The sequence below is a fragment of the Homo sapiens genome, chromosome 20 (assembly GCF_000001405.40).
Source record: "Homo sapiens chromosome 20, GRCh38.p14 Primary Assembly".
Lineage (NCBI taxonomy): Eukaryota > Metazoa > Chordata > Mammalia > Primates > Hominidae > Homo > Homo sapiens.
Window position 1 is genome coordinate 57,589,691 of NC_000020.11, and position 12,716 is coordinate 57,602,406.

At 56.0% G+C, this 12,716-nt stretch overlaps 3 annotated features.

Annotated features, from left to right (window-relative positions):
* Positions 303-1,058: an enhancer, noted in NCBI's record as "H3K4me1 hESC enhancer chr20:56165049-56165804 (GRCh37/hg19 assembly coordinates)". NCBI's record gives its function as "activates a minimal SCP1, AML or CMV promoter by ChIP-STARR-seq in naive H9 embryonic stem cells {active_cell/tissue: H9 hESC(naive)}" and the evidence as "EXISTENCE:reporter gene assay evidence [ECO:0000049][PMID:30033119]".
* Positions 7,302-7,361: a silencer, noted in NCBI's record as "silent region_13064". NCBI's record gives its function as "represses an Ori minimal core promoter by ATAC-STARR-seq in GM12878 lymphoblastoid cells {active_cell/tissue: GM12878}" and the evidence as "EXISTENCE:reporter gene assay evidence [ECO:0000049][PMID:35858748]".
* Positions 7,382-7,555: a silencer, noted in NCBI's record as "fragment chr20:56172128-56172301 (GRCh37/hg19 assembly coordinates)". NCBI's record gives its function as "represses an EF-1alpha promoter that drives an FKBP-Casp9 reporter gene in an ReSE screen in HepG2 liver carcinoma cells {active_cell/tissue: HepG2}" and the evidence as "EXISTENCE:reporter gene assay evidence [ECO:0000049][PMID:32094911]".

Here is a 12,716-nt window from a genome sequence, read left to right on the forward strand (position 1 = left end):
ACTCCTGCTGTGTGCCATGGCCACCCCCACTGCCCACCCTCTGCTCTGGGCTGTGTTCTGACCAGGGCCTGGCTCGCCAGGCGAGAGGAGGTATCCAGGGCAGAGGTACCACGTCTGGGGGAGTGGCCCTCTGTGAGCCCCTGGCCTGCTGGGCTCCTGGCCTGCAAGTAGCCCCCTCCCCCAGGAATGCCTCCAGATTTAAACACACCCATGTGCTGAGAAAAATACCAGTCCCCCTGCCCCCAGTGAGCGCCATCCAGCACTGGGGATTTTGCTGTCCCGGCAGTGGGGGTGTCCCCTGTGTGTCCCCTTCAACAACCACCTCCCTCTCAGGTGGCTTTGCAAGGCCTTGTTTTTCCGGACCAAAGTCCTGAGCAGAGGGGAAGAGCTTAGATGGGGTGGGGCTGCTCCCAGCTAACCCATAGCCAGAGTCTCTGAGAGCTGGAAGTTTCCAGCAAGAGATCCAGCCCGAGCTGGCTCCGTTAATCATTCTCCGTGGATTCGGGACTTGGCCTGGATGGAGTTTTCAGGCCACAGGACGGCCTGGGTTGAGCACGAGGATGGCACAAACATTCCAATGGGGGTGTTCTGGTGACCTGCCCAGGGAAGGGGCAGGGGCAGCGGTGGGGAGAGCGAATGCCCACCCTGTGGCTGGACGTAGCCAAGGGAGGCCCTGCTGTGATGCTAGAGGAGTGGTCCCCTGGGCTTGCCCACACCTCCTTCCCCATGTTCCTTCCAGAGCCAGAGGGGTGGGATGGGATAAGACGAGAAATGGGGCTGGGAAATTGAAGCTGGACAGCGCAGAGACGCCCTCCTGCAGCCCATAGAGCAGACTTCTGTGTGTTCCTAAACACCCTGCGCACCTTGCGGAGTGGACCATGCTGGATTCAAACATGAGAAAGAAAAGAGAAGCATGGTAACAGGTGCATGAGATCAACAAGGAGAGGCTCATGCCTACTGGGCACTCACTGCATGCCAGGCACGGTGCCCTGCGCCCAGGAGCCACCTGTCTAATGCTCCCGACACGCGAGCAGTAAGGACTGTCACTGTGTCCACTTCTGAGGGGGAACACTGAGGCTCTGTCAGGTTAGATCCTTGTCCAGGCCCCATGGTAGGAAATGGCAGAGGAGGCTGGACCTACCTCCAAGCCAGGTGTGGGACAGGCCTGGGTGGAGAGGGGTGAGGTGCACGTGTCCCCTCAGAGACCCTGGTCCAACAGCCAGTTCCCCGTGATGTGGTGTAGGAGTGGCTGGAAACTCTTAGATCCTGGGATCACAGACCCCAAGGCCAGGACGAAGACCTACTGCCACCAGCTGGAGTGGAGGGGACATCACTGGGAGGGACCCTGGGCAGTGGGTGCAGTGTGGCCCCATGAAGGCCCGGTGGGGACCAAGCCGGGCAGGCAGCTGCACCCACTGACTCCTCTGCCTTTCCCTCTGTTTTGTTCTGTCCTCTTTCACAGGGACACCCACAGCCTCTGTCGCTCCAGGCCCATGTCTGCCCAACACAGCTGCCTCCAACTGAGCAGCTCTTCTGTGGGGCCGGGGCGGTTCTCCTAGGAGAGCAGCCTACGCTACAGGCCCATGAGCAAAGTTTGCTGGGAAGAGGGCACCTGAAAGAGGCCTGGGGGCCTGAGGGCATGAGCGTGTGAAGAAGTGGGAAGGGAGCTCCATGAGAGGGAACAGCATTATAGAGGGGTTCAGAGGCAAGGGCCAGGCCAAGTGCGCCTGGAACTGGCTGCACGGGTGCATCTGGTGTGCTGAGTTTTGGCTGGGGAGCAGGAGGAGGAGGAAGAGGAAGAGCGGTCGGAGGGCCGGGTCTGGCTAACTGAGGGCTGAGTTCAGGAGTTCAGTGTTCTGATCCTGGGGGCAATAGGGAGCCACTGAAGGTTGGGGCCAGGGAGTAACAGGACTAGAGTTGTAGCTCCCAGGGTCCCCTGGATGCTGAGAGAATGGACAGAGGGGCCAGAGGGACATGGGAGGCCAGTGGGGAGATTCCTTCCATAGCCAAGAGAGACGTGGTGGCTTGGCTGGAGGTGGTTTTGGAAGTGGGGAGAATGGGTTAATGGAGGATTCTAAAAGTGGGTTTTGATGGGACCCTCCCCAAGGAGGCTTCACCAGAAGCAGAGATCTGCCTGGGTCCCAAGAGAAGACGTGGGGAGCAGGGCTTGGGACACTACCCTGCTGCTGGGGCGCCGGGAGGGGGCCTGTCGCGCTTCTCATTGCTCTGAGCGCTCCTGCCCCCTCTTTGGGGAGACAGGCTCTTCCCATCTCACCAAGGAGTGGCTGGAAGCCCTCAGAGCAATGAGAAGGGCAAGGAGGACATGGGAGCTGCACTGGGCCTTGCCCATCCCCCACCAGGGGAGGACAAGCTGGCGGGGAAGGAGTGGGCCAGCCTGGAGGCCCCTCTGGATGTGCAGGCTGGGATTGAGGTTCAGGATTTGGGGTGGGGGCAGAAAGGTGGTTTCGTCTGGACCTTGACAGTCAGCAGAGGAGGTGGGAGGGAGCTTGTCACTTCCAGCCCCATCCTGCAGCCCCTCATGTCTGGCAGAAAGTCTCTGGACGGTCTATGACACCTCCAGCCTTGGCCTTAGGTATCCTCTGTCCAAAACTGGAATCAGCCAGAAAAATCAATGCTTAATCTGGTGACTTCAAGAGGAACATCGGCCACCACCTCGGAACCTGGACCCAGACCTGGGTTTTTGTAAATACCCCGGCTTGGAGTGAAGTCCTTGTTCAAAGTCCCCCACTGGTTAGTGGGATTCAAACCCCAGCTGAGGTCCAGAGATCGTGCACTTGGTTCTGCGTGGGGGTGCGTGGCAGCCCAGGAAGTGGGTTCAGAGGCTGTGGGGCTTACCGGGCACCTTGATCTTTCCGGACCCAACTGTGGCCCCCAGGGAATCCGAGATGCATCCTGGCTGCCATGGCCCTGGTCCAGGAATCACAGTGGGCTGGGGGGATGGGACCGGCCTGGCTGGGCACAGGGGCCAGAGAAAGGAAGGGAAGAGATGGCACCCAGGGGCCGCCAGCTGAGGGCACAAAGGTGAGAGGACACCGGGCCTTGGGGAGCTCATGGTGCAGTGGGAGAACAAGCGGGATGAGGGTCCCCATGACAAAAGCAGAAACCCAGGCTCGGAGGGTGGCTTGCAGGCAGGTGGCAGAGCAGGGATGCGAAGCCGGGCGAGCCTGCTGCAGCTGCCACCTCTTTGGGTGGGAGCGTGCCTCACTCGAGGGCTTGCTCTCTGTGTGAGGCTTTTTCTTGTCCAACAAACACTCACTTGCTGTGTGTCAGGCCTGTCCAAGCGTGACAGGTGTCCACTCCCTAAAACCCCCATAATAACTCTGCGAGGTCAGTGCTGATGGGAAACCAGGCACGGGGTGGGTGGGCACCTGCCCAGAGCCAAGCAGCCTGGGAGAGGGCTCAGCTACCCAGACAGCTCTGCCGCAGAACAAGGAGGACCAGGAGGCCTCGATTTACCCTTCAGCCCCGGGTCCCACAAAGGGCCAAGGTCAGGAACTGCCCCTTCTCTGTTCTTAATCTCACCCCAGGACCTGGGCCAAGTAAGAGGTGAGTCCCCAAGGCTGCCAGCCACAGCCTGTGTCAGAGCCTCCTGGGGAGGGGCTGCTGAACCCCTGGTCACACCCAACTTCCCCGCACAGCGCCTGGGGGCGGGGCCTTGGAGCTGTGATTTGCATCCAGCTCCTTGGCAGATGTCAGCCACCACTCACACTAGGGTCTTAGTGCAGGCCTGGCCCCCGGAATGGTGCTGCTCGTTTGAGAAGACACGAGTGTCTCAAGCAGAACACGAGGGGCCCATGAGATGTGGGGTAGAGTTTACAGGACACAGAGAGAAACTCCGACTCAGGGAAAGGCCCGGGAGGGCTACAGGGAGGAGGAGGAGGGCAATGGGCCAAGTTAAGAGGCAGGACATCCAGGCAGAAGGCACTGACTGAACGGAGGCCGGGAGGCTGGAGAGGGGTGTTCCTAGCTGCAGTAATTAGATCCTTGGAGCAAACGAGGAAGAAGGTGTAAGAAAAGGAAGATGCGTGGGTCGGGCCAGATCTTGAAAGGCCCCAAGGGACAGGTTAATCGGCCAGGTTTCCACACCCACTGGGCATCAGAGTCACCTGTGGGAGTTCATTCCTTCACTCATTCAAGAGGTGCATATTGAGTGCTACTGTGGGCCAGACATAGTTCTCAGCCCTGGGGAGCCCGTGGGGAACTGACTGATGAGACCCCTACCCTGGTGGAGACAGGAGTGTCATCAGAGGACAGAGACTGTAATTAAAGAAATAGGAAATAAAATAATGGCAGATCCCTCTGAGTGCTCACAAGCAGATAGACCAGGACACAGTAGAGAGCGCCTGGGCTGGGAGAGGGGTCGTTTGAACCGAGTCCCCGAGGTGAGCCAGAGGAGAGGTCTCAGAAGTGGGTGGGAAGCCTCCAGAACAGATGGACCCTGGCAGCCCCTGCAGGGACTGGACCCAAAGCCTCTGAAGGACGCATTGAGGCCATCACCTCTGGGCAGACGGGCATGCGCAGAGCATCACCTGTGCTCCGCAGACGAACGGCCTGACTTGGGATTTGAGGGTCTGCAGAGATGGGGTGGGTGTAGGGGGTCTCAGAATCAGAAACTCTGACCCTGGATGGGACCTCGGGGACCAGCCCCTGGTCCAGGGGTCTGGAACCGAATTGAGGCAGAGGGCGGCATCCTTGCCCCCGCGCCCTCCTGCCCTGCGAATTCTGTGGGCCTTTTTTTTTTTTTGCAAAAACAGATCAAGGGCGCCACCTGGTGGCTAGAGCTGAGGCCGTGGCCGCTTCAGCCCAGGCCGGGGTCCACGGTGGCCAAGGCTCAGTAGGCCGGTCCCTTTAGGTCACTTCCGATTTTGTAGATGTTTGTGGTTACACAATTAATATGTTTACCTTGCAGATACAGTAGAAAACCCAGATAAAGCCAAAAGAAAGCAACCACCTGGAATTTCGCACCCAGAACAAACCTTTCTTCACATGTGCACGGATTTCTTTCTAGACTTTTCTTCATCCATCCAGGCATTTTCATACAAAAAGTGAATCATACCCCACAGAGAGTCTGCAACCTGCCGAGCTGTTTCCCACTCACCGCTAGATCGTGGCTCTCTTTCGTGCCAATGAATATACTTTTACAACATCATTCCTGCAGCTGTGCACGCACTTTGGGTGTGGCCAGAAAGTGATTGAGGTCGACTGAGCCCCTGTAGGTTGGATTTCTTTGGAGCAAAGTGAGTTTTCCAGAGTTTTTTCATTTTGTTTTTGCCTCCCTTGGGGAAGACAGGAACTTCAAAGCCCTCATTTCTCTGGTGCAAAACGGGTTTTGACAAATCCACATTTAGGGGTAAACTTCATGGTGCCAGCCCCCCGCCTCCCTGTGTCTGAAGCTGGGAGCATAGGGGCACTTGCTACTCACCCTGTGAACTGCCCGGGGCCCCTCTTGGAGCCTGAGGGTTTGGTTTACACTGCCTGAAATGGACGCACGGGCAGGTCATATGCTTCACAGGGCTGTTTTGTGTTCAACAGGTGGTCTTTGTAAAGCACTCCACGCAGGGCTCGGCCTGTGGTCAGCCCTTGGTAACTGTCAGCTTTGTTACCATTCAAAGGACCACAGGGTGTGGGACAAGAGCACTGCGGCCCCCCAGGCCTGTGCTCTCGTCACCGGCTGCAGGATGGGGGCCTGTTCTCGTCACCTGCCGAAGGGCTGAAATGCCTCCTTGGGGGTCATGGTGGGGCCTGACTTATTGGGTGCCGAGTTAGATCACCCTTTGCTATTCATGAGGCTGTGGCTGTGCCAGGAACCACGGGCGCTGTGACAACACAGCCACGTCCCCTGACACCCACTGACGTCCCCTGCTCTGGGGCTCTCCACCGATGATCTCATTTAACCCCGTTTTGCGGATGGGAAAACTGAGACTCAGGGATTCAATGACACTTGTAACATCTCACACCTGGTCAGTGGCGGAGCCCTCTGGGGCCCAGGCCTGGCTGCCACTCGGGGAGGTCTTGTTGGGGGCCTCTTTCCTTTGTCAGTGACTCCAGGACCTCTGGGCAGAGTGGGAGGAGGTGACATTCAGCAGAGTGTGGCCGTGGTGCTGTGTGTGTGAGATGGGAAGCAGTTGCCCTGTCTGGAGGCCTGGGCCCTACCTGGGCACTGAGCTGTGTGTATGTGTGTGTGGTGCACGCTGGTGGGGGGTGCTGAGGTTCAAGGTAGCGGGTCACTTGGGCATGTCACAGCACAGAGGGTAAACCCGCTGTCCACCAGGCTTGGGGCAGATATGGCTTCTGAATCCATCCTACCTGAGCACATTGTCAGACTCAAACAAGGAGCTAGACTAGGAGTCAGAGAAGGAGGGGCCAGATGGAGAGAAGGGGGTGGCTCAGGATGGGGCGTGGTGAGGGACCATTACCCACAGCACTGATGCGGCCGCACCAACGAGGCAGGCCCCTGCTAGTTTCATCCTGAACACAGATGATCACCCCATTTTGCACATGTGGAAACGGAGGCGCAGGAGGACTAGGTACTTGCCCAAGGTCACACAGCTAGAAAATGGTTGGGCAAAACCTTGAGTCTGGGGTGGTCCAAGTTTGTATCTTTGGCCCTACACTGTTGTGTAGACCTGGGAGGCATCCACCCACTTGGTGAGCCAGAGAGGGGCCTGTGGGCTGACTGTAAGCTCAAATGGGCCCTCTCTTCAGGTCCTGCAAATGAGGCACCGCCCCACCTCCCTACCTCCCAGACAGGGGTTGATGATGTGGGTTTTCTTCCACACTTGGAGGTCGACTGTACTCATTTTGTGCCCTGGGTTTAATCCTAGAGGGCCATTCACTGGCTGTGTGACCTTGGGCAAGTAGCTTAACCTCTCTGTGCCTCAGTTTTCTCCATGTGAAACGGGGTAAAGATTCCTTTCTTCGTGGAGTCGGTGGGAGGATGAAGTGAGTTAGTGCCTGCGGGAGTCCGGGGGGCATCAGCTCCCGCAGGGTCGGGACTTCGATGCCACAGATGGGCTTGCAGGTAGGGTCCTTGGGAGTCACGCAGGAGCTGGACTGGGGACTTGAGCGGGGGTACCCAGGTTGCAGGGGTGTTCCCCACGATAGAAGAAAATCAGCCTCTGAAGGGTGCTGGGTTTGTGCTCCTTCCCCCAAATTTGGGGCACGGGCATCAGCCAGAAAGGAGCCCGCCCCCGGCCCGGGAGGGCAGAACAGGAACTTTCACCTGGGGCCTGTGGACCGGCTGCAGGCTTATGTGCACCACCCCGGAACCGTGGGGGAAACACGTGTGTCTGGCTGCTTTGTGGGGAAGGAACAGGAGGGGGTCACACGGGATCCCCCCCACCCCGCCTGACCCCACCTCAGGCCCTGGAAGTTTCCGAGCCCAGCCTGGTGAGCGGCGGCCGGCGGCGTGCGGCCAGCAGAGGGCGCTCGGGCCAAGGCTGTGAAAGGCCGGCTCCGCGCTCCTCCCCTCCAGGCCGCCCCTGCAGTCGAGACCTGCGGAGGGCGCGGGCGGGGGCTGGCTTGGCCCTAACTCTCCGGGAGCCCGGGTGGGGCCGCTGGGGTCACAGCTGGGGCCACAGCTGGAAGCCGGCCCAGACATCTCAGCCCGGGGCGGGTGTCACAGGGGAAATTTTGACAATTTCCCGGCCTAGCCCCACCTGTACAGACGGCTGTCAATCAATCCCCGGGAGGGCCTAGGCTTCAGCCCCCAGGTCTGGGCACCACTGGGCAAGGGCTCCCTTCATTCTTAGCGTGAGCTCCCACCAGGCAGGGTCTGTCCCTATTTCTGCCCATTTAACAGAGTAGGAAACTGAGGCTCAGAGGTGGCAGGACTTGCCTGAGATTACACTCACTTGCCTGGGATTACACACACCAGGGGCTGTGACGCCAAGCCCCATTATTTTTTTCCCCATTTATTCTTTTATATTCGTGATATTAACAGCAGCAGCAGCGCCTGTAACGGACCTTCTCAGTCTGGGCCTTGCTGGCACTCTGGGCTAGATGTCTGTGTTAGGGGCATGGGGTGCGCTGAGCGTTGAAGGGCATGGGGTAGCCTGCACATTGAAGCATGCTCAGCAGTGCGGGCTGTGTGAGGCTCCCCAGGACGATGCCCGTGTTCTAATCCCAGAACCTGGAACATGTTACCTTACATGGAGAAACAGACTTTGCAGAGGTGATTAAGTTAAAGATAGTGAGGTGGGGGGTCATCCTGCATTATCAGGGTGGCCTCGATGTCATCACAGGGGTCCATCTAAGAGGAAGGAGGAGGTGAGAGGGAAAGACAGAGGTTCAGAGCCGGTAAGCCAGATGCTGGGGGCAGAGAGGAGTCACACAAATGGGGGGATCAAAGATTCACCTCCAGGATCTCCCAGCCACGCAGTTCACCCCCCACACCCCTGACCTGCAGGTGGAGCTGGGAGGGCCAGGCCTGTCTCGAGCTCTGTAGCCAGGGGCGCCAGACCCCCTCCCCCCTTTCCCCACCCCCGGCCCCCCAGCTGACACTCCCGCCTTCAGGGCTTTGCCGGCACTGGCCCTGCTGGATTGCTTCTCCAGCAGCTGGGGGCATTCAGCTGATTGTGGCAAAGGCCACTGTGCCCCGGGGTGGGCGTGGGGGGCAGGTCAATGAGACACAGTGGGGGAGCTGACCAGCCAGGGGCTGGGAGGTGACAGCCAGGCCGCGGTGATATGTCCCAGGCAGCTTTTTCAGTAACATGTTTAAGAGCACTGGCTTGCAAGCCTGCCTGATGGCTGGGTTTGAATCCTATCTCTGTCCTTGGGCAGTAGTTTCACCTCCCTGAGTGGGTTTGAATCCTATCTCTGTCCTTGAGCAGTAGTTTCACCTCCCTGAATGGGCTGCCTTGGAATCATGCAGCGGGGGCTGCATCATGCTGCGTATCCACAACTGTCCAAGGAACCCTTGTTTCACAGGAGCTCTTGCAGAAGAGGGTTTTCATGGAATGCAAAATCCTGGTCCTGCTGGCCCCTCCCCATCTGAGGTGATGTGGCTGCCCGTGGGTGGGTGCCAGTCTGCTGTCATCCGTGGGAGCTAGCAGCCTGGCAGATGGGAGTGTTAAATCCTCCGTGATGGGTTGACCACCAGGACTGGAAAAATCTGGTTTTCAATCTGGAATTTTGAACATGGGTCTCACTTGTCAGCCATGTGGCTTTGGGCAAGCCACTTACCCTCCCTTGGCCCCAGTCTCCTCATGTACTTAAGGGGAGGATTAAAGAATGCTTAGAAAATGCCCTTGTCACAGAAGGTCCACACCATTCTAAGCACCCCCAAATTCAGGGGTGAGCCTGGATTGGCTACAGCTAATGACTCTCATCCCCATGCCCAATTGGAGGTGGCAAATACTGGGGTGGTTTAGAAATTGCTTTTGTCCCCTGTGGGAATGTGAGGTCTGGAACCACTGCAGCCATTTTGTCCCCAGCAGGGCAGAACTCTTAGTGGCTGGAAAGTCTCCGTGTGGAGCCTGAAAAAGCTGAGTCTGTGGGAAGCCATGAAGAGAGATGGAGGGACAGTGGGTCCTGAACCACATTGTTTGAGCTGCTGGATGAGGCCTTACCTGAACACTGCTAGTTTGTGAGTCAATAAGCACGCTAAAAAAAAAACAACAAAAAAACCTGCTTTTTGTTTTGATTCAAAAGTACAAATAGATCTGCAACATCCCACCTACAATATTGAACAGATGCCTAAACATACAGTCGTCCCCCAGTATCCCCAGGGGATTGGCTCCAGGACTCCCTGTGGGTACAAAATCCATGGATACTCAAGTCCCTGATATGAGATGATATAGTATTTGCATATAACCTATGCACATCCTCCTGTATACTTTAAATCATCTCTAGATTACTTATAATACCTAAAACAATGTGAATGCTATGTAAATAGTTGTTATACTGTATCATTTAGGGAATAATGACAAAAAAGTCCACACGTGTTTAGTACAGATGCAGTCATCTTGTTTTTCAGATATTTTCGATCCTCAGAACCCACACATACATAACCGACTGTATTTTTAAAAATCTTATTGGTTTCATTTTTCCCACTTGAAAATTTTTTCCCACATTCACTCAGCCTTCCATTCCAGGCCAGACCCAGTGGCTTCATAGGTTTTCTGTGCAGTATCAGGCTTCAGATTCTCACAACTCCCCATGCAGGGTTTTGTTTTGTTTTTTTTTTTTTTTTTGAGCCTTCGGTGGCTGGGGCCCTGTGGAGAGAGACTCATCAGAGAGCAGAGAGCTGGAGAGAAAGAAGCCTGAAAGGAAGGCTTGAGCCTCTGGATCCAACCATTCCTGAACATGAGTGTCCCTTGATTCCCCAGTTGCATGAGCAAATACATTCACCATTGTGCCTGAGCCTGGGGAGCTAGGCTTCGGCCATTCAAAGCCAAAATGCCCGTGAGTCCCTCTGTAGACTCTTCTTCCTGCTCTAAGCATCCAATTTTGGTTGCCTGGTAAAATCTCACAAGTGAGGAGTCCTGTCTGGGGTCACCCAGAGAGGAGGAGAGCAGCTGGAATGAGAACATAAAATTGCATCTGTGAGCAGGTTGGTGGTTTCAGAAAATCATTTCCAACTCCTGGAGCAAATTCCTCCTCCCTGCATCGAGTTCTGGGGGCTACAAGCTCCGTTTGCACACACCATGGCAGAAGGGAGGGGTGGGTGGGCGGGCTAGACACAGCGCGGGCTGAGGGGTGGATGGACTTAATCATTCTCTGCTTTTAATGGTATCTAGTTAATTTCCTTCCCAAGGAGACTAACATTGACCTTCACCTCTGGCCCCCATTAACTGCTAGCAATGCTTTGTCAGCGTATTTATGACAAATTAATTACACAGGGAAAATCTTGCTGGGAAAATGAGTATTCTGATTCAGCCTGGGGGTGGAAGCTGCATTTTGATTCCTCATTGACAGGGGGCCTGGTTATCCACAAAGTTTGGCCAAACTTGGAGGCAAGCAACTGATTTGCAGCTCCATGCAGCAGGAAGACACGCCCAGAAAGATAGACAAACCCCATTCTCATCCCCTCCTGCCTAGTGACTCATGTTTGCAAACTGGGTACTCTATGAGAAAATACTCTGGGGATCCCAGATCAGCATGGTGGTTGAGATAACTTTGCCTACAGTATGGCTGAGCAGCTCCAGTCCATGGGACAAGACACCCTATCCCCCAGAGTCAATCCAATGGCTGTACCGACCTTGTTGCCTAGGTCTGCCCAGTCCTCCCTGTGGGCTGGCTTGTACAGCAGTGTCTGGTCCAAACTCCCAAGCGGCCATGGTCTGGTCCCCACCTGCCTCCGCAGCCAGCCTCCCTCCACTCTTCTTTGTGCTGGGCTCTCCGGCAATACCCAAACCACGGTGGTTCTCTGAATAACTCAGCTGGTTCTGATCTTCATGGCTTTACTCCAGCTGTGGCCTGCCTAGAGCACCATTTCCACCCTACGCAGCCTCCTCCCTCTGCCTGGTCTTGAAAAATGTGCTCTTGAGAGTTCCCTCCTCCTCCAGGAAGCCTTCTGGACCCCTCTAGGCTGTGTCTGGGCCCCTGTCCCACACTCCCATGATTCCCTGTGATGGTTCCTGCTCTGAACTCCCTGCCTGTGTACGTTCCCCTCCTGACTCACTGTGAGCCACTATCAATGACAGGGCTTTGTCTCCCACTCTCAGTAGCCCAAGGGCCCAGCACAGGAGTTAGCCTGCAGGATGTGGTCAGTGAAGGGCCTTGTCCAGCATACATTGGACCCTGGAGGTATAAGAGTTGAAAGCCAGGGCCCCTGAGTCCAGTAAATTCCTCATTCAAAGCTGGGGAGTGTAGCGGACTTCTGAGGTTCTAGCCTGTCCAGCATCCCTTTCCTGGTAAATTTAGAAAACAGCTGATCCATCACCCTTAGGCCATGTGACTGGGGGTGGCTGCTCCCCATCCTGGTTCCAGAGATAAGCTATGTGATACCAGTTGGCCAATCACCGCATTCTATTGCTCTGGCCAATGACTGGTGGGGAATGGGCATACAAATAAAGCCATCTGTTGTGGCTTTTGCTGTCGGGAAAGTCATCCCTCTCCACTGGGTAGCTAAGCTAGTGGTGTGGGGGCCTGGAGCTGCTGGGGGCTATCATTGAAAACAGAGGAAAGCAGTAGGGGGGTGGAGCGAGGCTGAGTTCTAAGAGATCACCTGAGCTCCTGGATCTAGACATTCCTGAAGCAGGCTCTATGCCTGGGCTTGTCTATTAGAAGATCCAGTGCATCCCCTTTTGTGCTGAAGCAGGTCTCAGCTTTCTATCATCTACGACCAAATGAGTCTCGATGGACGAGAGCTAGACTAATGACAAGGCAATGTTGGGGCAATGAAGTGTGGGTTTGATATGGGGAGCAGAGGAGGCTTCAGAAGCAGACAGGAGGCATCCAGCTAGCCTGGGAGCTCTGAAATCTCTCGGTAAGGTCATGCCTCAGGTTGAGTAGCAGTGAGCTAAGGGGAGTGGGTAGGGGAGGTGAGGGGGCAGCTGCCCTTCAGAAATGGAAATCCCAGTGGAGCTGGCTTCAGCACTAAGGGGACATCTCAGTTCTTCTAATGGGTAAGTGCTAGGATAGGTTCTGCTTCAGGAATGACTGGATCAAGGAGCTCAAACAATGTCTTACGAATCCCCTTTAAGGGATGAACTGTAAGTTCTATATATCAGTCTAGGTTCTGACCAATATGT